The 27,942-nt window shown below is 44.9% G+C and overlaps 1 protein-coding gene and 2 long non-coding RNA genes across 9 annotated transcripts in view, besides 2 other annotated features; 1 reads left to right on the top strand and 2 right to left on the bottom strand.

Moving 5' to 3' along the window:
* Window positions 1-12,610, top strand: part of SBF2 (SET binding factor 2) — a 526,174-nt gene extending 513,564 nt beyond the window's left edge. For 6 of the 7 annotated variants that reach the window (NM_001425069.1, NM_001425070.1, NM_001424318.1 and 3 more), the window contains 7 exons: window positions 595-722; window positions 1,936-2,169; window positions 3,540-3,644; window positions 5,960-6,153; window positions 6,840-6,927; window positions 9,640-9,771; window positions 10,762-12,610. In NM_001425069.1, the coding sequence (NP_001411998.1) occupies window positions 595-722; window positions 1,936-2,169; window positions 3,540-3,644; window positions 5,960-6,153; window positions 6,840-6,927; window positions 9,640-9,771; window positions 10,762-10,860 (980 nt within the window). In that variant the 3' untranslated portion in view covers window positions 10,861-12,610. Of the gene's footprint in view, window positions 1-594; window positions 723-1,935; window positions 2,170-3,539; window positions 3,645-5,959; window positions 6,154-6,839; window positions 6,928-9,639; window positions 9,772-10,761 lie in introns of those variants that run through there. The other variant, XM_047427657.1, reaches the window with a different exon arrangement.
* SBF2-AS1 (SBF2 antisense RNA 1) overlaps window positions 1-27,942 on the bottom strand; it is a 53,027-nt gene that overhangs the window by 20,042 nt on the left and 5,043 nt on the right. The window lies entirely within an intron of this gene.
* LOC105369149 (uncharacterized) lies at window positions 34-10,731 on the bottom strand. The gene is made up of 3 exons (NR_188521.1): window positions 10,703-10,731; window positions 8,169-8,238; window positions 34-409 (listed from the first exon to the last, which is right to left on the bottom strand). It is a non-coding gene; the product is annotated as an uncharacterized LOC105369149 (long non-coding RNA).
* Window positions 25,377-26,200: an enhancer, noted in NCBI's record as "H3K27ac-H3K4me1 hESC enhancer chr11:9786625-9787448 (GRCh37/hg19 assembly coordinates)". NCBI's record gives its function as "activates a minimal SCP1, AML or CMV promoter by ChIP-STARR-seq in primed H9 embryonic stem cells {active_cell/tissue: H9 hESC(primed)}" and the evidence as "EXISTENCE:reporter gene assay evidence [ECO:0000049][PMID:30033119]".
* Window positions 27,109-27,609: an enhancer, noted in NCBI's record as "H3K27ac hESC enhancer chr11:9785216-9785716 (GRCh37/hg19 assembly coordinates)". NCBI's record gives its function as "activates a minimal SCP1, AML or CMV promoter by ChIP-STARR-seq in naive H9 embryonic stem cells {active_cell/tissue: H9 hESC(naive)}" and the evidence as "EXISTENCE:reporter gene assay evidence [ECO:0000049][PMID:30033119]".

Genomic DNA, 27,942 nt, shown 5'->3' with positions numbered 1-27,942 from the left:
GGGCTCATGTTAGTAATAGATTGACTATTTGAAAAAGGTATAAAAGTTCTGCTTTTATTTTTAAGTCACCCAAGGACACAGACTACACGCTTCTGTCATCTAGAGTCTCAGTAACCATGATCTGCAGTATATATACACTGCTAAACAAGAAAACTCTTTAAATGGCTTCATAATAAACAAACAGCCAACAACTTAAAAGAGAAACATAAAATTATGTTTTTTACTGAGCTTCATCAAATCAACTCTGAAGTCCTTCCATTTTCTCTTGAAAAGTGTAGACTGCCTCCTGCATGGACTTCTTTGAATCTAGATATAGATGCAGGATGAGGGTTGGAAGAGTCATGATTGATAGACTGCTGGCTGCTTAGGCAAACTTTATCAGATGTTTCCTCCATCTGGATCTGTTTCCCTGTAGCGATGAAATTCATTCCGGTCTTTAGCTTTGCAGTTATTTTCTAAGGTTTTCACACAAATGTTGCTGTTTTTAAAGCCATAAAAAATATTCCACTTTTTTATCTGCTGCATGCATCATACGTTTTTTGGCAAAGTGTGAATTTATTTAATTTTGTTTTGTTGGATTTTTTTAATCTACAGGAACTTTATTTGATGATAAAGGAGAAAAGCATGCCAAAAAAGGAGTCTGTATTTGGGAATGTATTGACAGAATGCACAAGAGGAGTCCCATTTTCTTTAATTATTTATATTCACCATTGGAAATAGAGGTAGAGTAAGAAATCATTTATGTTTCACTTTCTGAAATTTTGTGTTAAGGTTTTCCTTAGTTTTAACATATATAAGCAGTTTAAGCTTTTTATAAACATTGGACTAGGTTTCATACCAAAAAGCTATTTCAAAGTTTGAGACACTATAGGTTTGGGTTGTGACACAAATGGAGACTGTTCCCTAAATTCTTGCCACAAAAATTAGGAGCTGGCTCTCAAAACCTAGAAGGGAAAACTTGCAGAGAATCAAAGCAAGGCACCTTTCCCCAGAAAGAAAGAACTAACAAAATTTGAAATATCAACAGGTGGTCTAAGCTGAAAAACCTTAAAATACTTTAGAAAAGGTTTCTTTAAGTTCATCTGTACCAAAGCCATGGAAGGACCCCTGTAGGAAGCAGAGATATTCGGAGCCAAGCCCAAGAAGGATAACATATCTCGGGGCAACTGCCCCACCATGCACATCTACATAACACACGCCCTGGAATGCAACAGACTGGTCTGATAAGCAGTTCCACCATTACTTAGGGCCAAGAGAGGCCCCTCCCCTGGGCCCCAATCATAGAACCCTAGTCTGGCCTTCCTCCAGCTGCATCCTCCTCATGGAGGTGAGCAGTACAAGAAACCAAAGGTACATGCTTAGATGCCCCTCCTTCATCTAAACCATACTCTGTCTGGGTACTTCAGAATTCTTTGCCCAAATTCAGGCTGCTCACCAGGCTACTTCTCCAAGTCAGTCTCCTAAGTCAGTGCATGGACCCCAAGGCCCAAAGAATGGCAAAAAGTAGCAGGTTTGACAGAGTGGACAGAGTTTGACTTTGTGGGCTGGGGTATACATAATGATTCATGTTAAGACCCTTAGAATGTAAGATAGGGGTGGGTGGAGAAGAGAGGCCAAGGACAGGGGGCTGGGGCCAGCTCCTCCAGTGCTACCACTTGTTAGTATAAAATTCTGAGGAATCCAAGAATTCTCTATTGAACTTGACCTTCTACGTCATTAGGAAGTTACATTTCTCAATGTAGGAGGGAGGATTGGAGAATGTTTTATTTAATAATTTATCTTGATGTATGATTTTTAAATATTTAGAAATATGGTATTTGAACTCCATTCATACTCTTCCTCCCCTGGACTCTATAAATGTTAGGGGTTTGCCTGACAGTGAGCTTGGGGTACTTTGGGGTCAAGATGAAACTATATTTCTGTTTTCTTTAACAGGCTCTAAAGCCCAATGTAAACGTCTCTAGCCTCAAGAAGTGGGATTACTACATAGAAGAGACCCTGTCCACAGGCCCTTCCTATGACTGGATGATGCTAACCCCCAAGCACTTCCCCTCCGAAGACTCTGACCTGGCTGGAGAAGCTGGGCCACGGAGCCAGAGGAGAACAGTGTGGCCATGCTATGATGATGTCAGCTGTACTCAGCCTGATGCTCTCACCAGCCTTTTCAGTGTAAGTCAACTGTAGACACACACCTAGGGGCACCAGGGGCCCTGGAGGCATGAGGGCAAAGGAACCAGGCTAAGTAACTTCTGAACATGGCTCTCCTTACTCTGAGCTAGGGTTATGGTTATGAAGAAACCAGATTTGCTCCCCATCATCAGTGGGGGACCAGGCTTCACTACTGGAAAAGAGTCTCAATAAAAGTGATTTTCCAGCCTGGCGCGGTGGCTCACGCCTGTAATCCCAGCAGTTTGGGAGGCTGAGGCGGGCAGATCACAAGGTCAGGAGATCGAGACCATCCTGGTTAACACAGTAAAACCCCATCTCTACTAAGAAATACAAAAAAAAAAAAAAAATTAGCCGGGCGTGGTGGCGGGCGCCTGTAGTCCCAGCTACTCGGGAGGCTGAGGCAGGAGAATGGCATGAACCTGCGAGGCGGAGCTTGCAGGGAGCAGAGATCACGCCACTGCACTCCAGCCTGGGTGACAGAGCAAGACTCCGTCTCAGTAAAAAAAAAAAAAAAAAAAAGTGATTTTCCAGCGTTACAAGAAAGCAATCAAGCAAATAGAGCAATTTACTCCTTCCAGCAGCTTCCCAGCTGTTTTAGTTGCCCGAGCAGCCTTAGTCAGGTCTTGGCTGTGGCTTCTGTGGGTGCTTTACTTCCTCTGGTCAGAAGTGTGGGTAGTCAGTGGCCTGATGGGAGTGCTGTCAACCATCTTCTGCAAGGAATGTTCCGGAACCAACCCCTCCTGGCAGTAGCCAGCCTGAGGAATAGCTTTGAGCCCTGATATGGGCCAGACAGTTCCTAAAGAGTCTTCCCCATCTGGCTTCCTGACCAGGAAGAGTATGCTTCAGTGGTCATACAGTCACAGAGGCAGCTGCCCTGATTTCCAGCTTCCCTGTCAGAAGGTATATCTGTTTCCTTGGGCATTTCTTGGTTCATTCTTTCCACATCTGGTTTGAATCATCAGAGTTGAGGGGTTCCTCCTGTCAAGGACTGGCTTCTCATCTACCTCAGCTATTAGGGCTGGGCCACGGGCCAGTGCTTGACCTCTTGCTTTGGCTATCAGATTTCCCATGGGCTGCCCAAGGGTGCAGATGTCTGAGATACATATTTCACATCCTAGTATGTAAGCTATCCTGTACAAAAAGGCCTAGTTATAGGTCCTAATAAACCATCTTTGCCACAGTACGGCACACCAACTAGAGCTCTCACCACTATTCCTGGCTGGGAGACCTCACAGGCCCATGTCCACCACTTTCCTCAACTGCCCTCTGGCCATGCTGCTCATCTGGGCCTAGTACAGAAGCAGTGTGGCTTTGGGGCCCATCCTGATTTCTATGAAATACTGATCAGAAAACTTTTAATTTCTTTGCAGGAAATTGAAAAATTGGAGCACAAATTGAACCAAGCCCCTGAGAAGTGGCAGCAGCTGTGGGAAAGGGTAACCGTGGACCTTAAAGAAGAACCAAGAACAGATCGCGTGAGTTGGCAATGCCCCTTGAGAGCCACTTCTGAGCTTTCTGAGGGTGCTAAGTCAGGTGGAGCCTGCTGCCACAGGTGACAAGACCCAGCTGGGTTTATGGCCAGAAGGAAGGGTGGAAAGGGGAGGGGTCATGTCCTGGAGGTCCAGGGCAGAAAGTTCCAAATGACTGAATACTTCCTGAGTGTCTCACTTCACCACAGTGACATAATACTTATGTCTCAGCACCCCGAATCCAAGGAAAAGTATTGGGTTCTTTTCTATCTCAGTGCCCGTGTGGTTTCAGCTGATCTTCTACCACATAAGGCAGGAGGGGAATGCCAAGACCACGTTTGCTCCACAGAAAGTATTTTAAAACAACAAAATATGCTACCCTGTGTTGTTCACAGTCCCTTTTCTGTTTCTGACTTAAGAAACATTTATCATAAAAATATTTTAACGGCCGGGTGCGGTGGCTCACGCCTATAATCCCAGCACTTTGGGAGGCCGAGGTGGGCGGATCACGAGGTCAAGAGATCGAGACCATCCTGGCCAACATGGTGAAACCCCGTCTCTACTAAAAATACAAAAATTAGCTGGGTGTGGTGGCGCATGCCTGTAATCCCAGCTACTCAGGAGGCTGAGGCAGGAGAATCTCTTGAACTCAGGAGGCGGAGGTTGCAGTGAGTGAGCCGAGATCGTGCCACCACACTCCAGCCTCGTGACAGAACAAGACTCCGTCTCAAAAAAATGTATATATATATTTTAAAACCAAATACTCTGTTTTCTGCTTCTCATACCCCATTTCCTATTTCTGATTTAAGAAACATTTATCAAGCACATAATATGTGGAAGGGTCTGTGCTTAGTACAGTACACACCTTCGTATCCTATTTAATCCACTGTGAGGGAATGGCGTTCCCTCTCCTACACAAGGAACAGGCACAGAGAGCATACAGTGGCAACTGGTAGAGCCACCAATCGAACCCACATCAGACTGGCTCCAAATGCAACAGAAGGGAAATTAGGACAGATGAGTGTTCTGAAGAACAGTTCAGGAAGAAGAGGCCAGCAGGTCAGATGTTACAGAAAGGTCAAGAAGAATGGAGGGTAGAAGAAAACCTTTGTGGTAAAAAAAGAACATCTGGGGCTCTATCTCTTACCCTCAAATAGCAATTCAGGAGCTGTTATCAGACAGACAACAGGTGGGTGATGCCTTAATGCTTTTTTGTTAGAAAAATAATAGTTTATTGATTTTTTCTAATAATGAAAGTAATAATGTTCATTTTTTTGAAAGAACACACAGAAAGTTATAAAAGATGAGAATCACCCATAATTTATAACCTAGAAGTAAACCACTATGCTATCAAACTTGTTTTACCCTTATAAATTCACATATAAAAGAGATTTTCTAGACATACTATTTTAAACCTGCTTTTTCACTCCACGTTGGCATACGTGTCCTTCCAACTGTCACTGTGTATAAACCAGTGTCTGCCAGGCGCAGTGGCTCATGCCTGTAATCCCAGCACTTTGGGAGGCCGAGGCAGGCATGAAGTCAGGAGTTCGAGACCAGCATAGCCAGCATGGTGAAACTCTGTCTCTACTAAAAATACAAAAAATTAGCCAGGCATGGTAGTGTGTGCCTGTAATCCCAGCTACTTGGGAGGCTGAGTCAGGAGAATCACTTGAACCCAGCAGGCAGAGGTTGCAGTAAGCCGAGATCATGCCACTGTACTCCAGCCTGGGCGATAGAGTGAGACCCTGTCTCAAAAAAAAAACCATCAACATCTTTATTTTTTTTGAGATAGTGTCTCACTCTGTCACCTAGGCTGGAGTGCAGTGGCGTGATCATGGCTCACTGCAGCCTCAACCTCCAGGGTTCTGGTGATCATCCCAAGTAGCTGGGACTACAGGCACACACCACCATACCTGGCTCATTTTTAAAATATTTTTTGTAGAAATGGGGCTTCGCCATGTTGCCCAGGCTGGTCTCGAACTCCTGGACTCAAGTGATCCACTCACCTCGGCCTCCCAAAGTGCTAGGATTACATGCATGAGCCACCACGCCTGGTCATAGCAGCATCATTTTTTAATGGCTGTCTAGAATTCCACTGTATGGAAATGCCATAATTTGTTTAATGTCCCTAATAATGGACGTGTAGGTTGTTTCCAGTTTTTTACCACGATAACTAACTCTGAGATTGATACCTTTGTACATTATTGTTGCTTATTAGTCCAGTTTTTTCCTTGAGATAAATATTTGTAAATGAAATTTTCCAGTCAGTAGTTTAAGTGTCTGTAAAGGTTTCCTAGCTCCTGTCCTGTCTTTTTCAGTCCCAAAGACACCTGTCGAGATCCCCAGGAATTGTGTCTACCAACCTACCTTCCTATCAGAAGAGGTCTCTGCTACATCTCCCAGACAGCAGCATGGGGGAGGAACAGAATTCCAGCATCTCCCCATCCAATGGAGTGGAGCGAAGAGCAGCCACGCTCTATAGCCAGTATACATCCAAGAATGATGAAAACAGGTGACATGCTGAACCCTGCTCGCTGTGCTGAAGACTTCCCCACAGCACCTGAGGCTAAACCACAGGTCCCTCAATAAGCTAGGCCTGTGCAGTACAGCCTTTTATAAACTTGAAATGGATTTGCTTTAATTTTTGTAATGTTTTAGATGTTTCTTTGAAAAGACAAAAAACAAAAATTACAACTAAAAATAATTCGAAGAGGTTGTAGTTATTTGTAGTTGAGTCCTGATGGCTCTTATCTCCTGTCTGCCAGAACGTTTGAGGGAACATGTGTCAGCCAGCACTTTGTCAGTGGCACACATCAGAAATCCAGCTTATGCTAGCTGAAGCAAAAAGGAATTTACTCACATAAGCTAGGACAGCCAAGGGTATGCTAGCTTCTCACACAGTATCTTCTATCCACTTCCTGGCTCTGCTTTGCCCTCTCTCTGTGTTATGTCAGTCCCAACATGGCACAAAGGATGGCTACTGATCATTCCAAGCCTCACAGATGTGGTAATCCCAGCAGAAAGCAGCAGTCTTTCCCCAGAGGTCTAGCAGAAAAAATCCAGGGAGAACTCTTATAGGCCATTTTTGAATCATCTAGGGGAAATAGAGACTTGACAAAAACAACAGATATCCCCTCCCCTTTACAGCATTTTGTAAGTGTAAATCAAAATTAACTCTCCTGTCATCATTTCTTCTAGGTCCTTTGAGGGAACACTTTATAAAAGAGGGGCTTTGCTGAAAGGTTGGAAGCCCCGTTGGTTTGTTTTGGATGTAACAAAACATCAGGTAATACTCTTAAAGCCAAAAGAAATTACTTCTGTCTAGGCTAGTCCCAGTCCCTGGCTATTATGTGGCTCTAGCAGACAGATAGATTCCTCATGTACAGACTGCTTTTTTAGTGCCTCTCATATGTAGTCTGGAGGCTCCTCAAGGGCCCCAGATGTCCCTGAGTAAGGGCAATAGCCTTCTGAGGGAGTTTCCCAAGTAGCTCGGCCTGGTACATGCAGGCAGAGGCAGCAACAATTGAGCCCAGAGCATAGAGCAATAGAACTCTTTTTTTAATGCTCAAATATCTCTTGCTGCCTGATCTTAACACCCAGGTGAGGGGATTCCTGAGGTTTTCAGCCAGTTGCATACATACCACATGCACATATAAGCCTATGCCTGTGAACACTCCCCAGAATACAAGTTACCTTCGTCCTCGCAGCAGAAAGCATCCATTCAAAACAGAGGGCATTAATTTATTCTACAAACATTTATCGAACACCACCTCTGTGCCCACTGCTGTACTGGTTACTAAAGGAGGCACTGTTACCCTTCAAAGATGGCAGCAACAGGGGAGTAAAGGGGCCCCAAAAGCGGCAGAAGGGGATGTGCCCACCCAAACTTGGAATTCACCGTGGGCAAGTACTAGACTGGTCCTTGCTGACTATGTCAAGAAATCTTTTGACTACTGTTAGGTTCTTAGCTATTCCTGTAGCAGCCTCTGCAATCCTTAGCATCATAGTCTTTACTCCAGTGATTTCAAGGGAGAGCAGTTCCTACCCAAACCTCCAGCAACTCTGCACCCTGCATTACTGAGAGCTGCATGGTCTCCTGTGTTCTGACTGCAGGCCTTAACTCCACCTTGGGACTGACCACTCAGCCTTGAGGCTGAGGCTTACACATTTTGATTCTCAATGCATTTATCTATAAAATGGAATCTGTTAGGAAAAACCTGAACTGTTACTCCTGTACAGTGCTTTGGTTGGACCTGCATCTAAAAGACTCCTTCCAAATGAAGACTGTATTTGGAGTCCAGCTTTTCCTCTGCTCAAGGAGTTTCATAACGATTACAGAGTCTTTGTGGGACAATATAGATAGATAATTTATGTTCAAATATACAAATGGAAGCCCTGTTAGGGAGCTATACTCTGAAATCATAGAGCCTACACTGTGTAAAAAAGTTCCATTAAGCTTCTAAATATAACATAGGAGAATGTCATAATTTTTCTATAATTTACATCAAATTACACTTGCATTCTTACCAGTCTTCTGGACTTCTTTAACATGAAAGATAGATACAGTTTTTTCCACTTAGCCCTGCTCATACCATGCCTGAGAGGAGAGACAGAGAAAAGTCTCAGGTCAGAGCCACGGTATCAGAAGCACCACTTTCTTGCCATGTATACTAGAGAGTGAAATCCACAGATTATGGCCCAATAAGGCTTATTCCCTAGCAGTCTCTTTGACTTTTTTCCTTTTTTCTTTTTTTTTTTTTTTCTTTTGAGACAGAGTCTCGCTTTGTCACCCAGGCTGGAGTGCAGTGGTGCAATCTCGGCTCACTGCAAGCTCCACCTCCTGGGTTCTCGCCATTCTCTGGCTCAGCCTCCCGAGTAGCTGGGATTACAGGCGCCTGCCACCATGCCCAGCTAATTTTTGTATTTTTAGTAGAGACGGGGTTTCACCATATTGGTCAGGCTGGTCTCAAACTCCTGACCTCAAGTGATCCACCCGCCTCAGCCTCCCAAAGTGTTAGGATTACAGGCATGAGCAACCGTGCCCGGCCTGGAAAGATGTTTCAATAGGCATAAACATTCTAAATTTTAGTTGATATTGCCAAATTGTTCTCCAAAAAATTTCTAACAAATTATATTCACACTGGCAGTATTTGAGATGATCTAGTACCTTATTGGATATCATCAGCCATTTTTAATATTTCTCAATCCAAAAGTGAAATCTCATTTATTGTCATTTATTTTTCTTTGATTAATGAGGTTGATCATCTTTTCAGATGTTTATAGATCATTTGTATTTCTCTGTGACTCGCCTGTTGAGATATTTTGAGCATTTTTCTACTTTATCTTTTTCTTATCAATTTCTGGGAATTCTGTATATTACTAAACATTAGCCCTCTTTTTATATGTTACATATACTTTTTACAGTTGTTACTTGACTTCTTTTTTTTTTTTTTATTTTTTGAGACAGGGTCTTACTCAGGCTGGAGTGCAGTGGCAGGATCTCAGCTCACTGCAGCTCGACCTCACAGGCTCAAGCAATCCTCCCACCTCAGCCTCCTGGGTAGCTGCAACTACGGGCATGCACCACCACGATTGGCTGATTTTTGTATGTTTTTGTAGAGACGGGGTTTCACCATGTTGCCCAGGCTGGTCTCGAACTCCTGGGCTTAAGTGATCCGTCCACCTTCACCTCCCAAAAAGGACTGGGATTACAGGCATAAACCACCATGCCCAGCCTTGATTCTATTTTTTAAGATGTAATACATTTATTTGTTTGATTTTCAAACAGTACATAAGTCTTTCCCCCAATGCTTTCTCCAAGCCACCTAGTTCTTCCTAGAAGCAACAAGTATTATTAATTAATTTTTTGTGTATTCTTCGAGGCATAGTTCAGCATATATAACCAAGGTACAGAGGAAGGTATTCAAATGCAGTTTGAAAAGCCATGGCATTTTCTCTTTCTGTCTCTTATATCTCACTTGTATCCTTTTGGTTCCAGCTGCGCTACTATGACTCAGGTGAGGACACAAGCTGTAAAGGCCACATTGATCTGGCTGAAGTAGAAATGGTCATCCCTGCTGGCCCCAGCATGGGAGCCCCAAAGCACACAAGTGACAAGGCTTTCTTTGATGTAAGTTGATCTTACTTCTCTTTTCCTGGCTCTGTCTGCACATCATTCTGTCTGTCTCCAAGAATGATGGAGCCCTCAGAGTAATTGGTGGTGACTACAGATGGATGACAGACCCCCTTGGCTATGGGAATTGTTCCAGAGCTTGAACTCAGCATTATTGACCCCCAAGGCTATCCTCTCTTCCTGTCTGTATGTCTCAGAAAAGCTACATATTGCTTTGTGCAAAAGGAGTCCAGCGCACATGGAAACAGATGAACTCCTTGTTAAATGTTGTTAGTTATTTCAGTCACCACCTACTTTCAAGAACAGATGCTATTTCCCTAGTATTCAGTGGTCTTCGTGCTTGACTACCCACAAAAGACTGTCCTTAGTCACACATGATAAGTGTCTACGCTAACATCTTCAGCAGCCCTTAGGTAGGCCATGGGGCACTTTATAGGCCACATAATAGAAGGAGACTTATGTAGTCCCTGGAGTCAAGCAGGGCTTTATAAAGAGGATAGGTCATCCTCTATGGCCCTGCTCAGGCCATGAGACCGTTTTCCTGACAGTGGGCTTCCAATATGGCTCCAACTAAAGAAAGGGGACACGAAGGCCAACTTTATGGTATGCATGAATCTCAGGCATCCCCCTGGAGCACAAGGAGCTCCCTCACCTTCAGTGCATTGGTGCAGTGCATGGGAAAGGTTAAAGGCACCATTCATTGCTGACCCTTCCTCCTTAGTCAAAGACGACACTAAGAAAATGCAAAATAAGGCGCTCCCAGTGTGTCTCCCTTTCCTGCCAGTACCCTTCTATCAACATCCCCTATGACTCTAGAGACCACAAAAGTAAAGGCAATAACAGTATGGTAGTTGAGGAAGAAAAATTCATACAGACGTTCTGGGGCAGTATGGAAAAGAAAGGTCACAGGAACTGATTTACCACTTACCCAAATCCATAAAACAGCCCTGCCCTTCATCTCTGGTTCACTGTCATTTGGTTTTGTAGCTCAAGACCAGCAAACGTGTGTATAACTTCTGCGCCCAGGATGGACAGAGTGCCCAGCAATGGATGGACAAGATCCAGAGTTGTATCTCTGATGCCTGATGCCCATGGTCAACCCACGCAGAAGAAACAGAAGAACTCATGCTGCCAGATAGATAGAAAAAGAAGCATGGATCCTTGAGGAGCTGACAACAAGTTATCCCAGGGCCTGAGGTTCTCCTGCCCAGTCCCCTCTTGCAGGGGTTGCTATATCTACTTAACCTGAATAGGTGTTTCACACAGGTCTGGTCAACAGCCCCATGCACTCCCTGTATCTTGCACTAAATTTTTCTAACAGGGTCTTAGTGGTTAATGATCAGAAGATGTCTCCTGAGCCAACTGTGAACCTCACCCAGGCAAAATGGCTACCACCTACTTGGGTCCTTCTTCATGAAAGCTATAGATCCTTTTTTGTTCTCTGAGGTCATAATTTCCTCGGAGACCTGTTTAACAAGCAAAAATCAAAACCCTCCAAGATTGTCTCATATTCTACCTGGACTAGGTTTCCTATGAGAGACATCTACTTGTAATGCCTGACCTTTGAGATGCTCAGTTCTCTGGTGCTGCCAAAAGATGCTTCCATGGTCCGTGCTCTGCCAGTGGGGTTCACAACAAGAGACGTCATTGTTCAGTAGCAGGCAAAGAGGGAGCACACAGCATTATTCTGATGGAAAAAGATTATCCAGGGAATGGTACAACAATGACCAGCCCAATGCAGGAAAACACTACTTCCAAAACACTGAATTCTCTAGACCAGAGGTGCTCTGAGGATCCAGGGCCTTGTGTTCTTATGTATCTTCTGCTTCCTGACAGCTTCTTTTTCAAAATAACATGCAAAAAAAGCTGAATGCACTAACTCACAAAACAAACACTTGCACTGAATTCCCAATGAAGTGAAGATGTTGGAAAGACAGAGGCCAGCTATTTAGGACCATACGCACCTGTGACAAGGGCTGTGTTGACCACAGTCACACTGTGGCATGACTGGATACCCAAACTACACTTCTACACATGAAAAGTAAGAACTGTCTTTAGATTTTCTTTACTTTGATAACTTGTGATTGTTTAGCTTAAGACCCAAGAAATGCTGTTTGCTCATGGTAAACAGAAACAGCATCTTCGCTACAACCACTGACACCAGCTGGCGTCATAGGTAGCTAGATCATTGCATTTGTTTTGAAATGTTAATATGTTAAATACTAAACTAATATTTCAAAAATGTGTATATATGATTTCTATATCCTTGTTTTTCAGATAGCCTGCTTATAATTTAATATAAATTAACTGATGCATTCATAAGATTTCAATAATGAAATGGTTCCCTTTTAAAAAATAAAAATACTTTGTAGATTAAAAATAAATCAGAATTTCAAATTTAAAATTGTCCACACACTAGGAAATAGAACTGTGTTAATATATAAGAAATCTGGGGATAATTAAGAATGAAGGACTTTTCTATCATTTCCATTTTATAAATTGCCACCTGTGAAAATGGTTTTTGCACATTATTTGTATTTTTCTTTGTATATGAAATAATTTTTTGTACTTTGTAAAATATGGAGCCCATTGTACCTTCAGCTATTTGAGACTATACACAGTGCTTCTTTTGTAACTGGATTACTTTAACTTTCGTGAAGGCATTACATTGCCTCACATTCACTAACCACCTTGAATTAAATTTATTTCTTAAGAAAAAGCATCCCTCATTTACTGTGAACTAAAGTTCATTCTGTAGTGCACAGCATTCAGGAGGGTAACACTCAGGATTCATACATGGGACTAAAGGTTCAAGAATAAAACAAAGCATGACCCACTTTGTTCCTTCATTCTCCTAATGTCATCACTGCCCTTTGCTCAAGAAGTAACTAGGGATACTGGACATGTTAGCATGAGCTTCTGGGTTCCAGACACACTTCTGCAGAGTTTAGGTAAGAGACTTGAGGCCAAGATTCTCATATGTGCTGCCACTCCTACCACTGTCTCTAATAAGCTGTTTGAAATTGCTTAAGTCCCTTACCTATTCTGGGTCCATTCCACCACCCAGAGTATATGGTAATTTGTGAAAATTTTAGGCATGAGACATTGAAGTCTGTTTGAGCAGCAGATTTTTCTGCTTCAGGGAACTTTTTTTTTTTTTTTTTTTTTGAGACAGAGTCTCACTCTGTTGCCCAGGCTCTGGAGTTCTGGAGTGCAGTGGCGCAATCTCGGCTCACTGCAAGCTCCACCTCCCGGGTTCACACCATTCTCCTGCCTCAGCCTCCCAAGTAGCTGGGACTACAGGGGCCCACCACCACGCCCAGCTAATTTTTTGTATTTTTAGTAGAGATGGGGTTTCACCGTGTTCGCCAGGATGGTCTCAATCTCCTGACCTCGTGATCCACCCTCCTCGGCCTCCCAAACGGAATTGTTAAACAGTACAAATGATCAGTGATTTCAGTTCTAGACAGTACTTCCTTGGTTAAGCCCATGAGTTTACCTCATGTAGCCAACAGAGAATGCAAGTTTTCATCTAGGGCAGAGCCTTTAAGTCCTTTGACATCCAGAGTCCTCTGAGCCAAGCAAGAGGATCCCAAATAGCCACTGAGGCTCAAGGTGAGATAGATAGTGACATATTCCCTTGAGCTTTCGGTTCTCCTCAGTCTCAAGAGCATGCTGATCTAGCCAAGGGCCCTCAAGCCTTTCCTTGGTCCTAGGCCTCTCAACAGCTACCATTACACATTGCCGTGTCCCTGAGATTCAGTCAGGAGGGAGACAACTGGGATTAGGGGTTGAGTAGAAGCTGTGTTCACAGCGTCAGTATCTGGATGCCCTTCATTCCTCAGGTCTTAACTGTGAACGGGGAGAATACTGGGTTCTGTAAACAAAAATAAAATTCCAAGCCCCCCAGATGACTGAATGGACCCCCTCTCAGCCAAGGGGGTTCCAGAGAAACCTGAAAAACGAGTTCCAGCCATGATGCTCGGGCAAGGAGGTAGACATGCCTCTTTATACCCTCTCCCTTTTGGAGTTTAGACACAACAGACCAGCATTAACATTAAAACAGATCTTAAGACTGACAAAATAGACTGTCACAATAAAATACCAAATTCCAACCTGACTCTAGTATAGCATCACACAACAGATAGCAAGCCCTGAAGGAAATCAAAGCTTTTTTAATCCCAAAATACATTCCTTTTACATATTTTGAAATGGCCCTGCAAAGCTGTATCTTGTGCGGGGGGAGGGGATTTACATTCTGTAGAGGATCCCTTTCCCTTCCCCGGTGTTTTTCTGATCCTGAAGAGATTAGCTAAGAGTCTAGTACCTTTTATTAAAGGTCTGAATAGGAAATATTTGCTATCTGTTGCCTCTAAGGGCAGCCACCTATGAGACTTCATCTACCTAAGAACCTAGGTCTCTACAACCCCTTATCTTAACCCAGACTCTCCTTTCAATTAATTTCAGCCTTTTAGATAATAACTCTTTCAGCCAATTGCCGATCAGAAAATCTTTGAATCCACCTGTGACCTGTAAGCTTCTGCCTTTCCAGGCCAAATCAATGTATACTTCACATGTGTCGGTTGATGTCTTATGTCTCCCTAAAACATATAAAAACAAGAGCCTTTAACCCAACTACCTTGGGCTTGTATTCTCAGGACCTCCTGAGGCTGTGTCCTGGGTCATGATCCTTAACCTTGGAAAAATAAATCTCTAAATTGATTGAGACCTGTCTCATATACTTTTTTGCTTTACAGTTCCAAGGGAGAAAGACCAGGGCTTGGCAACCTGCAGAAGCCTTAACAGGGCCCTTCCTTCTGTGGTCCCAGTGACAAAACCCTTCTAATAATGGGCTCTTGAAAGATGCAAACTCAAAGGAGCACATAGCATAAGTCACTTCCCAACCCCTTTGACCCAAATCCTTTATTCCCACCTCCCAAACCCCTTCACTCTATTGTCTCCACTCCAGAGCTAGAGCTTAAACTGCTAATAACATGGCACATTTGCTTCTCAAGGGAAACTGACATTTATAGGTATTTAATCAGGGATTCTTGTAAGAGTTACTAAGTAGCCCTATCATCCCATAAAGAATTTCTGAAAGATCCCAAGCTGATAACAGAGAAGTGCCCTCAGCAATGCCAGCCAAAGCTATGAATTAAGCAGTGAATAAAGCAGTGTTGACGAAGAGATAGGGTTTACAGCAGCACCATCAAACATATATAATGCAAGCCCCATAGATATCTTCAAGTTAAAAAAAGACATTAATTTTAATATATTTGTTTTTACCATATGTTTACTCCAATATATCAAAAATATTTTAATGAGTAAACAATACCAAAAAAAATTAATGAAATATATTCCTTGTTCATACTAAATCCTCAAAATCTAGTGTGTATTTTATACTTACAGCACATCTGAGTTTGGACTAATTTTTTTTTCAGAGGCCATTTCTGATAAAACAAATGCATGTCATGTTTCTATACCAGTTCTCCAACATCAACTGGACATCCAACAATTCAGTTCAAGTCTGACACTAACTCCCCGGATTTAGCGTAGACTCCACAAGTTCAGGTCTGTCCTCAAGACTGCCCCCACTTCAAACACTAGTTGCAAGTTCCAAGGGCCACCAGAACTTCTAACCAACCAGCTATAAATATGAAGGTTTCCACAATCCCCCCTCCTCAGGTTCAGTAATTTGCCAGAACAAATCATATAACTCAGGAAAACACTTTACTTACATTTACCAGCTTATTTCTAAGGGATACACCTCAGGATCAGCCAAAGGGAAGAGATGCATGGTATGGAGGGAGGCAACACACCACCTGCCCAGCATCTGATGTGTTCACCAACCCAGAGGCACTCCTTATCTCATTATTCAAGAGTTTTTACAACCCAGTCTCAAGTTACCCTCCCTCCCCCGAGGTTGGGGGTGGCTGAAAGTTCCCACCCTCTATTCACTTGTTTGGTCTTTCAGATGACCAGCCCACATCCTTAACCTAGCTAGGGACCCCACCCTGAATCACCTTGTTAGCATAAACTCAGGTGTTGCGAAGGGCAGTTATGAATAGCAAAAGATACTCCTAAAGGGTGGGGTGTGTTAGGAATAACAAACTATCACTTAGGGAATTTCTAGGGTTTTAGACACTGTGCGCCAGGAACCCAGAACAAAGGACAAATATATTTTGTACTCTACCACAACTAGCCTTATTTCCACTGCTACCACACTAAACAATGCATATTTACAGCAAATAGCCTGCTCACAGCAGAGCCTGCGGGGGTAGGGAAGAGCTGGGTGGCAAGAGACCTGGCTTCTAGTGCTGGCTCTCTTCTAATGTAATCTATGACCTTGAATCAGTCCCTTAACTTTGCTGGGCTTTGACTTATAAAAATGCAGGACGCAGATGATCTGTTACTTTGTGATTCCAAATATTTACCTTGGCAAGGACTCAGTTTCCAAACTGAGATTTAAAGGATTTGCTGAAAAATCCAAATCATCTAAATCAGTGCATCTCAAATTGTAATGCATACATGAATCATCTTGTTAAAATGAGATTCTGATTCAGTAGGTTTGGGGTGGGGCTTGACATTCTGCGTTTCTAATGAGGCCAGTGCTGCTGGTCCACGGACCACAGCATTGGTCCTTGGTAACAGAATTGTTCTTGGAGTAACAGGAATGTGTCTCAGTCCTCTGAGAAGCAGATGCCTGATAGGCAGGAACTCTGGGGAGGCTGGAAGAGCCAAGAGACGATGATGCTGGTGTAATCCTTGTGAAAAAGAAAGGGAAGCAAAGATGAGTGGAGGAGACTTGGAGTGCAGTGCAGTTCTAAGGAAGTTCAGCAAGGCAGATAAGAAGTCCTTGAGCCATCAGGGGAATCCCACATATTCCAAGAATGGGCCTTCCTAGGATCCCCACCATGCTCAATCATTGGCTAGGAGCAGTCCATGGGAAGCATGGTTTTGGTGGAAACACAGTAATAGATTTCAGAATATACCAGCTGAGGCCAATAGTCAATGACAGTCCCTGCAGTCAGAGATCTGAGAGAAATCTTTTCATGGTTGTCAATGTTAAAGTTGTCAGAATCAAAATGGAGTCACTTATGTTTAAAAAAAAGCAAAACAAAACAAAACAAAACAAAAAAGCCTGATAAATTGAGCCAGGGAAAGCTATGAAGAGAGAGTACTCATGCATAAATGCCTGATAACAAAAACTATCAAAAAAAAACCTGCAAAAATTGCAACCTTGCACAAAGGCCATTGCAACCTTACACAAAAATTACTCCTTTGAAGGCATCTGTCTAGCAACTGCCTGTCCAGCCTTGGATTAGTGTCACCCTTGTTACTGATCCTTGTAGCCAGGATAATTATCTCAAAACAATTATGTAATGATCCTCATTTTTCCTTTAAAAAACCTTTGTGTTCCTTTACCTCCCTGAATACACACATAGTTTACTATGGTGTTATATAGGTATTCCCATTGCAATGCCCTTGATATAGTTTGGATGTGTGTCCTCACCCAAATCGCACGTTGAAATGTAATCCCCAACTGGAGGTGGGGCCTGGTGGGAGCTGATTGGATCATGGGAGTGGATTTCTCATGAATGGTTTAGTACCATCAACTTGGTACTATTCTCATGACAGTGAGTAAGTTCTCCTGAGGTTTAAAAGTGTGTGGCACCTTCCCCCTTACTCTCTTGCTCCTGCTTTGGCCATGTGACATGAAAGTTCCCGCTTGGCCTTCTACCATGATTGTAAGATTCCAGAGGCCTTCCCAGAAGCAGATGCCACTATGCTTCCTCTACAGCCTTACAGCCTGCAAACCATGAACCAGTTCAACCTCTTATAGTTTTGTTTTTTTTTTTTTTGAGACAGGGTCTTGCTATGACACCCAGACTGTAGTGCAGTGGCGCAATGACAGCTCACTTCAACCTTGACCTCCTGGGCTCAAGCAATCCTCCCAGCTCAGCCTCCTGAGTAGCTGGGACTACAAGTGTGCTCCACCATGCCCAGCTAATTTTTTTATAGAGACAGGGTCTTACTATATTGCCCAAGATGCTCTTGAACTCATGGGCTCAAACAATCCTCCCACCTTGGCCTCCCAAAGTGCTAGGATTCCAGGCATGAGCCACCACACCTGACGTCAGGTATTTCTTTTTTTTTTTTTTTTTTTTTTTTTTTTGAGACGGAGTCTCGCTCTGTCGCCCAGGCCGGACTGCGGACTGCAGTGGCGCAATCTCGGCTCACTGCAAGCTCCGCTTCCCGGGTTCACGCCATTCTCCTGCCTCGGCCTCCCGAGTAGCTGGGACTACAGGCGCCCGCCACCGCGCCCGGCTAATTTTTTGTATTTTTAGTAGAGACGGGGTTTCACCTTGTTAGCCAGGATGGTCTCGATCTCCTGACCTCATGATCCACCCGCCTCGGCCTCCCAAAGTGCTGGGATTACAGGCGTGAGCCACCGCGCCCGGCCCAGGTATTTCTTTATAGCAATGCAAGAACAGACTAATACAGCCCTATTAAATAAATATTATTTTCTTTTAGAGACCCTCTCTGTTATGTAGGGTGACATAAATGGTGTCCAGAAGCAGGACCTGAAAAAGAATATCAGAAGGAATTCGTGACTCTTGGAACTAGTGTGCAATACTCGCCTGAGCCCTTTGAGCACTCTGTTTCTATGGCTCACATTTTCTGCCCTGGTGCATTTTCTCTCAGGCCAAGCCTCTCCCTTTTTGGTAGAAGCTCTTGACTTTGAACAGGAGTTGTTGTCTAAGGTAATACCCGAGGTTCATTGCCTCATGCCAAGAAAATTAAGGACACAGACACACACAAGGAGTGAGTTTAAGAGCAGAGGTTTACTAGGCAAAAGAAAGAGAAAGAACAGCTAGCTCTGTCCTTCAAGAGAGATGGGCTCCCAAATGGGACTTCCGGCCCACAGTGGAGTGCACAGATTTTATAGACAGGCTTGAGGAGGTGATTGATTACATAGGGCCCAAAGATTGGTTGGACCAGGTGTGACATTACGTAGTGCCCAGGGAATCTGGCCGCACCACCCTAATCTTATTATGCAAATGAGGTCTTTGCTTGGCTGGTGCCATCTTGTCTGCTTCTTATGGTATGCGTGGCTAGCAAAGAGAAGGGAAGATGGAGCTGTCATGTTGGATATGCCTAGCCCCAGGTAGCCTTTTCCTATTGGCACAGCTGCTGGCATTCACCCATGCAAACTTCTAGCTTCCTTGTTTATGTCTGCAGCTCAATTTTACAGGCTGCTCTTTGTTAGAAAAGAAAATCATTTGGGAGCTACTTTTCATAAAAGGAAAACCTTACCAAGGACTTCCTTACCCTATCTGCCTAATTTCTTAACTCCTCCTATATCAACTTTATTCAGGATTTGGTTTCGTTATAAAGCCACCTTTAATAAAGGACTGTACGTTCTCCTGGAATGATAAAAGGTTTTTTATCTTTTTTGGTTTAAAGACAAGTGTCTTTCTGGATTGAGTACTCTGGTTTCTCCAGAATCCACGTTCTTTCTGCAAGACATGACTTCTCTGGTAAATTCACTTTTGTTTCTTTCTTCGTTGTGATGGTTAATACTGAGTGTCAACTTGATTGGATTGAAGGATGCAAAGTATTGATCCTGGGTGTGTCTGTGAGGGTGTTGCCAAAGGAGATTAACATTTGAGTCAGTGGGCTGGGGAAGGCAGACCCACCCTTAATCTGGGTGGGCACCATCTAATTAGCTGCCAGTGCGGCTAGAATATAAAGCAAGCAGAAAAACGTGAAAAGAGAGACTGGCCTAGTCTCCCAGCCTACATCTTTCTCCCGTGCTGGATGCTTCCTGCCCTTGAACATCAGACTCCAAGTTCTTCAGCTTTGGGACTCAGACTGGCTCTCCTTGCTCCTCAGCTTGCAGACAGCCTATTGTGGGACCTTGTGATCATGTGAGTTAATACTTACTAAACTGCCCTTTATATATATCTATCCTATTAGTTCTGTCCCTCTAGAGAACCCTGACTAATAAATGCATGCATAATTTAATTTTTTCTACATTCCTGGGTTGAAATTTTTGTGAACATTCTTATCTTGGTTTCATTTTGGTTTGGTTACATGAATCTGTAAATGATTTGGCTCCTTTCCCTTGCTTGTTTCTAAATATCTTCTGAGAGCAAAAATAAATATTCTAAATGGCAGGGGCAGGATGGCTATTTAAAAGCCACTAGGACAGTTGTCACTATCTAAAACATGGGTCCAAACTCTTGACATTCTCTGACAGGATTTATAGGATTTTCTTTGCTCTCAAGAGATTAATAAGAAATGAAATGGGATTCTCAAATATTAAGGCATGCCAAGGTTTTCTGAGACTCCAGCCAGCTACATATTATGGTCTATTCTCATGAATATATTTAAACTAATGGGCCAGGTGCAGTGGCTCACGCCTGTAATCACAGCAATTTGGGAGGCCGAAGCAGATGGATCACTTGAGCCCAGGGGTTCAAGAACAGCCTGGGCAACATGGCAAAGCCCCATCTCTACAAAAAGTATAAAAATTAGGCAAGCATGGTGGCATGCACCTGTTGTCCCAGCTTCTTGGGAGGCTGAGGCAGGAGGATCAATTGAGCCCAGGAGGTTGAGGTTGCAGTGAACCATGATTGCACCACTGTACTCCAGCCTGGGCAACAGAGCGAGACCCTGTCTCAAAAACAACAACAACAACAACAACAACAACAACAACAACAACAAATACTAATGGACAAATCATATCAAGGAAAATTCAGGGCTAAAATGGTCTAACGTGGTGGCTCATGCCTGTAATCCCAGCACTTTGGGAGGCCAAGGCAGGTAGATCACTTGGGGCCAGGAGTTCGAAAAGAGGCTGGCCAACATGGTGAAACCCCATCTCTGCCAAAATTACAAAAATTAGCCAGGTGTGGTGGTGTATGCCTGTAGTCCCAGCTACTTGGTAGGGTGAGGCACAAGAATCACATGAACCTAGGAGGTGGTGTTTGCAATGAGCTGAGTTCATGCCACCGTACTCCAGCCTGGGTGACAGAGCGAGACTGTCTCAAAAAAATAAAAATTAAAAAAAGAGTCATAATTTGAACTGTCTAAAATATACTACAACTATAGTGTTAACATCACAGTCTACCCCTTGTGCCACACAGATCTTTACTCTCCACCAGGTTCAGGGAGAAGTTCCTCCCCATTTCCCTTGGGCCTCTATTCCCAAGGGGAACTCAGAAGAAAGCAGGAGGTCTGTGGGACTAACTACGGCCCCTACCAATGAAGTTAATCTTGGAGCCATAACTGGCCTTCATTCTCTCCCTCGTCCACTATCTATTCCGAATTCCCCCGACCCTCAACAACCTCCTCAGATGTTGGTGGCTTACCTGGTGGTGTGAGCCAAACCTTCATTCTGGGGGTGAGAGGAGGGGGAGGGAAGGGGATAAATGCTAAATAATCAAACCCTTCTCAGGGTTGCTGCATATCCTTTCACAATTACAGTGGGGCTACCTGGAGGTGCACAGTGGATCACATGGGCTCCACACACATTCCTCCTGCCCTCATTATCCAGAAGCAGCCTTGCCCCTTCCTGTTGATCCGGGTCAGTTATCCCTGCCAGTATGATGACTCTTCTTGTCTGCTGGTTTCTGAGCACGAAGAATCCCAAGTGCCCTGCAGCAGCCGCAAACCATACATAGTTCAATAGGACCCTTGCTATCATACTGTCCCCCAGTTAAGTGCTGTGCTGTGTGGAATTCCATGCCTTTGGATCAGGCATTCTGTACATCCCTGGAAAGTGACGCTAACTAAGGCTCTGTGGTGAGGAAAGGCAAACCCATGCCCAGAATAAGTCTCTATCCCTGTAGAGATGAACCATTGGCCCTTCCAGAATTGAAAGGGCCTGATGCGGTTGACTTGCCCCAAGTGATGAGTTGGTCTCAAGGAATAGTGCCATTTCAGGGGCTCAGCATTGGCCTCTCTTGCTGACACACTGGACATCTGAAGGCCCCTAGACTTTTCTGCCATATCACATCACAGTGATCTCCAAAAGGCCTCTTAAAGAGGGGCCATGATGATGCTTTGGGCTCCAAGTGTTAATGTTAACTCAAACTCTGCATCTGCTACTCCTCAAAATGTCTTGTTATCCCCATTTCTCTAGTGAATGATTACCTAAATGGCCATAGGTCCCTTTGGGGGAAAAAAATGAAGGAATCATTGTGACATATACTTGCTGCAATTCTGCAAGGTCCTTCCTCTTAGAGAGCTGGCCAGCTCTTTAGTCAATGGTTCTCAAACCTAAGCTAATTTTCAGATATGGAACCATTCCTTTCTAAGGGAAGCACCTGTGAGGGACAATGGGCAGGGAGGCCAGAGAGGTTGGGAGGGCTATCAGACCATGATGGGGGTGGACCGCTGTGAAAGAGAGAGGGAAGGAAGGAACAAATATATTGAATAAATTATAAACATCTGGTGCATACTGGGCACTGAATTGCTCCCAAGGAATCTCTGGATGAATACAGTACAGCTCAGCCCCCAAAGAACTCACAACCTAAAGTAGACCCAGGCTATTTGCTGTAAGCAGAATAATCCCCCACTTCTCTGAAGATGTCCATGTTGTAATCCCTGGAACTTGTGAATATGTCATCTTACATGGCAAAGGGGAATTAAGGTTGCATATGAAATTAAGGTTGCTGACCAAGACATTATCCTGGATCGGTCCAATGTCATCACAAGGGTCCTTATAAGTGGAAGTGGGAGGCAGAAGCAAATGTCAGAGAAAGACCCGATAGGAAACTCAATAGGAGAAAGATTTAATGAGCCATTTCTGGCTTTGAAGATGGAAGGGGGACAGATGTGAGCCAAGAATGTGGCAACCTCTGGAAGCTAGTAAAAGGAAGAAAATGGATTCTCCCTCAGAGCTCCAGAAATGAACATAGCCCTGCCAACACCTTGATTTTAGCCCAGTAACACCATTCTGGACTTCTGGCCTCCAGAATAGTAAGAATAAATCTGTATTGTTTTAAGCTGCTAAATTTGTAGTAATTTGTTACAATAGCAATAGGAAACTAATAGGGCTATATAATGAACCACAGTGATTTGTGCAATTGCATCGTATTCGTACAACAGCTGTATACTGGGGGCAGGAGCTCAGAACAAGCAAATTGGATGGGGGATGGCCTAGGGAGAATAAGATGAGGCAGAGGGGCATAGGTGCAATGTGATATGCAGAGGCAGCTGCTGCAAGGCCAAGAGGGACACTCACACATGCAAACATATAATCCTGTGCACACACATGCAACACAAACAAGGGCATACATGTTCTCACATATACACACCCTAGTGATACTGGCACTTACGCATGCAGACTCTTTCTGACGTAGGCCCACCCACTGCCTGGATTCCACCTGTTTTTCGTGACCTCTCTTGTATTAGTCTATCTCATGCTGCTAATAAAGACATACCCAAGACTGGGTAATTTATAAAGGAAAGAGGTTTAATTGACTCACAGTTCAGCATGGCTGGGGAGGCCTCAGGAAACTTACAATTATGGTGGAAGGGAAAGCAAACATGTCCTTCTTCACATGGTGGCAACAACAAGAAGTGCTGAGCAAAAGGGGGAAAAGCCCCTTGTAAAACCATCAGATCTCGTGAGAACTCAGGATCACAAGAACAGCATGAGGGTAACTGCCCCCATGATTAAATTACCTCCCACTGGGTCCCTCCCACGACATGTGGGCATTATAGGAACTACAATTCAAGATGAGATTTGGGCGGGGACACAGCCAAACCATATCATCTCTGTCATCTCTTAACAGCATATTTCCTGAGGGCAGCTGAATTTAGCAGGTGGGGATAGGGCTTGTCTACCACGGCTCCATCACTAGCCTTCACCTGAGCAGGAGGTACACTGGGAGGCTGAGACTCACCAGTTGGGGGGCAACTGGTTATTATTTACCTGCCCAGCATTTTAGTATGTGCGGTGTCAGGGTAAGCCCTGACCATGCACATGTTCTCCCAAATCTCAGTCTCTCCCCTCACAGCTGTATGATGGAACCTATTATGAATGAGCTGGTCACCCAAAACCAGTGTGTCCATCTTCCCATGCACTTGTCTGTCCATTTTCTTTCATTCAACATACATTTATTGATGCTTCTTCTGTGCTAATGCCTGCTCCTGGATACTCTGGACCCCAAATAAAATAACCTACTATCCAAGATATGATTTCTGGTGTAACCAGAGCTATGATAGGGTGAGAGCAAGTAGGAGCCTGCAGAAAGATGGGAGGAGCTCATAGCCCAGCCTTGGGGTAAGAGAGGACTTCCTGAGTAAATGACATTTAGGCCGAGTATTAAAGGATAAGATCACTGGGCAAAGGTGAAATCACGAGGAGCAAGGAAAAGAAGTTAAGTCAGGTTTGTGACATGTATTTTAGAAAGATCTCCCTGGTGAGGATGGCGAAGGGGGACTGGGAGGGAGGCAGGCCAGTGAGCAGCTGCTGTAATTATCCCAACCTGAGAAGGCAGTTGGGCTGGATAGACGTGGGAGCTCCAGAGACATGCCTGAGGTGGTATCTGTAGGATGTAGGGCCTAACTGATGGAGACAGAGGGGATAAAGGAGGAGAGGGGCACTTGAAGACTGTCAGGTTGATGTCTGGGACATCTAAGAATGGCCCCAGCCTCAGACTCAAGTGCCAGGAGTAGAGAAAGGATGACCAGGTGGGGGGCACCCAGGCCCTGGTGCTGACTTCAGGAGCAGGCATATGCTTCCCAGCTGGTAGTGAGGGTATGTGCAGCACTTCCAGGATCCGGGAGGGGTTCCCCAAGTCACATACACACACACCGATCACACGTCTGGGCTTAGAGAAAGAAGTTAAGTAGCCCCTCCCCATTTTAACAGCCGAGGAGTCCATGATTTCAGGAGGTTAAACGACCTTCTCCAAGGCCACACAGCAGTGCCTGATGGAACTGGGATTTGAACCCAGGCTTGTCTAACTGCATCCTGTGCTCTTCTCCCCAGTCCTGACAGGTCAACCAGGCCAGTCTTGGCACCACAGAATTAAGAGTACAGGGGACCTCTGACCTCTACGTCACACCCAGCCTGGCCAGGCCATTTACAGGGCCATTCAAAGCCAGGACTGCCTCACCCTCTTAGACACTGGACCAGGACATAAAGTTCTCTTTGTGGGCAGAATGAGCTTGGGCACTCCAAGGAGAGGTGGGATGGGCCCACAGCTAACTTAGCCCTCTCATACCCACTCCATACCGTGGCCACCCACCCCACAGCTAGAGCACCTAAGAAGTGCATCTCCTAGCCTGGAGGTGAGCAGGAGGAGCCAAGGCCAGCATGTCCCCCACTGACACACAGCTCAGCCATAGCTGGGCCTTCCAGGAAATCCAGACCTGGGCAATTAGAAACAGAGAGCTCAGGGCTTAGAATGAGATACTATGCAGGATCCTGGTGAGGATCTGGCCCTGTCTGAGCCTATTTCCTCATCTGTAAAACATGAAGTTAGGCTTATTTATCCTACAGCTCCCACAGCTGCAATGGTCTTTTTGCATCTCCTCTGCAGTCCCTGGCCTCATCCAAGCCTAAGAGTTGAACAACAGATGCCTGGTCCCTACGGAAAGCCCCCAACTCTGGCCTCAGCAGATCCACCTCCTCACTCCCCACAGGTCCCCTGAGGTTCAGTGCAGCCCCAGCCAGAAGAATGTGAACCATTCCCGGCATCTCCTCCCCTGTGGCCAGCCCAGAGAGGGGCTGAAGCCTCTGGGCCCTTCTGACAGGAAATTAGCTGGGCCTGGCCTTCCCCACTACCAGCTGCTCTGCTGACCCTGACCCTGTGTTTTCTGAAACTTGATACTGCAAATTTCAAAGCCTCTTCTCCATTCCCTGGAGGCCTGGCTGAGCTGTGTGTCTAGTGGGGCCTCCAGCCTACGTGTGGGCCTGCCTTCCTGTCCTGGAAAGGGCCCTGGCTGAGAGTGGGGCAGGGAAGCCTGAGGCCCAGCCTCTGCCATGACCCTGAGCAGGGCCTACCCCCAGGCGATTCATCTCCCCATCTCTGAGCTGCCAGATGGAACCCACGTGCAGAGTGGCTGCAACATGGAGAATGGGTTGGAGGGACACAAGAGGGGCAGTGGAGAGACCACTTCAGAGGTAACTGTCATGGTTCAGAGAAGAGATGGTTTGGACTAGGATGGGATAGTGAAGATGACGAAAACTGTAGACTCAAGAGGTACTTAGGAAAACGGAGAGATACTGGTGGTGGTTTGGCCATGAAGACTGGGGGACACAGGTGTCAAAGGACCTGCTAGGTTTCTGAGTTACCCAGCTGAACGGATGGTGGTATCTTTCCCTGAGATGGTGAACACCAAAGGATGACCAGGGTTGGGTGGAGGAGGGGAAAATATCCTGTTTGGCCTTAGTTAGAGGCTGAGGTGCCTTTGAGATGTCCCAGTGAAGAGGCTGAGCACTTGGATATCAAGAGGTGAATAAGCTGAAGATACTTATTTGGGAGGGAGAAAAGTAGATGGTAGCTTGAGGACATGGATAAAACTGCCAAGAAGGAAGAGTATTAAGTAAGAAAAGAGCCCAGCCTGTGTCTTAAGGACACTAATATTCAATGGCCAGGTAAAGGAGGATAAACCTGGAATAGAGGGTGAACAGAGAAAGAGCATTGTTGTGCCTTGCAATGAATGGAGAAGAGTGTTTCCAGAAGCAAGAGAATGTTTGGATGCTGCTGGAAAATCTAAAAGAAGAGTAGAATGAAAAATGCACTTTGGATTTAGTGTCCTGAAGGTCACCTCACCAGTGATTTTAGGGAGTGCTGTTTCGGTGAAGTGAGGCAGGTAGAGGCCAGGCTGTCATGGACAGGAGGCATGTGAGGTGTGAGGAAAGAGACAGTGCTCTGGAGATGTTTGACCATGGTTGAGAGGAGGGTGGGGCAGTAGCTGCAGTAAGACATGGAGTCAAAGAAAGGGGCTTTTGTTGTTTTTTAAGGTAAGTGAGATTCAAGCATGTTTAAATGTTGATAAGCAGAATCCTGTTCAGATGAGAGGTTGACAATGCCTGAGAAAACAGGGACAACAAACATAAAAGTGTTTTTGACAAACCAGGAGGGCTTGCCAGGGCCCCTCAGCAGGGTAGGGCTCAGAGGGAACATCTCTAATCCTTTGAAGCTGGCTCCTGGGCACTAGGCTGGCTGTGGCACTGCCTCTGAGTGCTCTATATGCCCCACAGCCAAGGCCAGCGCCCTTGGATGGCCAAGTACATGTACCTTATGGATCTTATTCAACCCTAGTTGAGGATGGCAGGGGTTAGAGATGACTGGACAGACCATGGTGGGCCATGATGTCCTAAACAAGGGTGCTACATCCCTGGAAGAAGAGCCATGGGCCTCTAGGCCTATTGTGGACATTAAGCCCATTGCCAGTGACAGGATGCCTGGAGCCCTGCTGGATGACATCCCTAAGTCCAGGGTCCCCAGATTCCTCCATTCCAGCTTGGCAAGGCCATTTTGGCTCTACTGGCATGGGACACTTCCAGGCATACCACAGGGCAGTGGTTCTCAGAGGACGGCCTCTAGACTAGGAGTATCAGCATTACCTAGAAACTTGTTGGAAATGCAAACTCTGAGGCCCCACCACAGATCTATCAAATCGAAAACTCTGGCAGTAGGGTCCAGCAGTCTGTGTGTAACAAAGTTTCCAAGTGACTTTGAGGCACCACTTCTATAAGGTATCAAGCTGTTCATCCCTCCATTTGCTGTCCATCCAGTAACCTAAAATTCACACATCCACCAATCTAAACAGCCATCATCCAACTGTCCATTTCTCAATGTAATTCAACCATCTGTCTTAGTCAGTCTGAGCTGCTACAACAGGACATCCACAGACTGGGTGGCTTATAATCAACAGAAATGTATTTCTTGCCGTTCTGAAGGTTGGAAAGTCCAAAATTAAGGCACTAACAGATCTGGTGTCTGGTGAGGGTCTGCTTCCTGGCTCACAGAGAACTAGCTATCAACAATCCATGTTCACATTCTGTCCAGCCACCTGTGCCTATCTATCTAATCTGATGTAGTCTAGTCTATCATCAGCCTAAATAGTCATCATCCTAAACATTCCTTTATTTATGTTACATACATCTACTCACTATCCTCACAACTCATTTATAAT

This window comes from Homo sapiens, chromosome 11 (genome assembly GCF_000001405.40).
Source record: "Homo sapiens chromosome 11, GRCh38.p14 Primary Assembly".
Lineage (NCBI taxonomy): Eukaryota > Metazoa > Chordata > Mammalia > Primates > Hominidae > Homo > Homo sapiens.
This window is presented reverse-complemented; position numbering and strand designations above follow the sequence as displayed.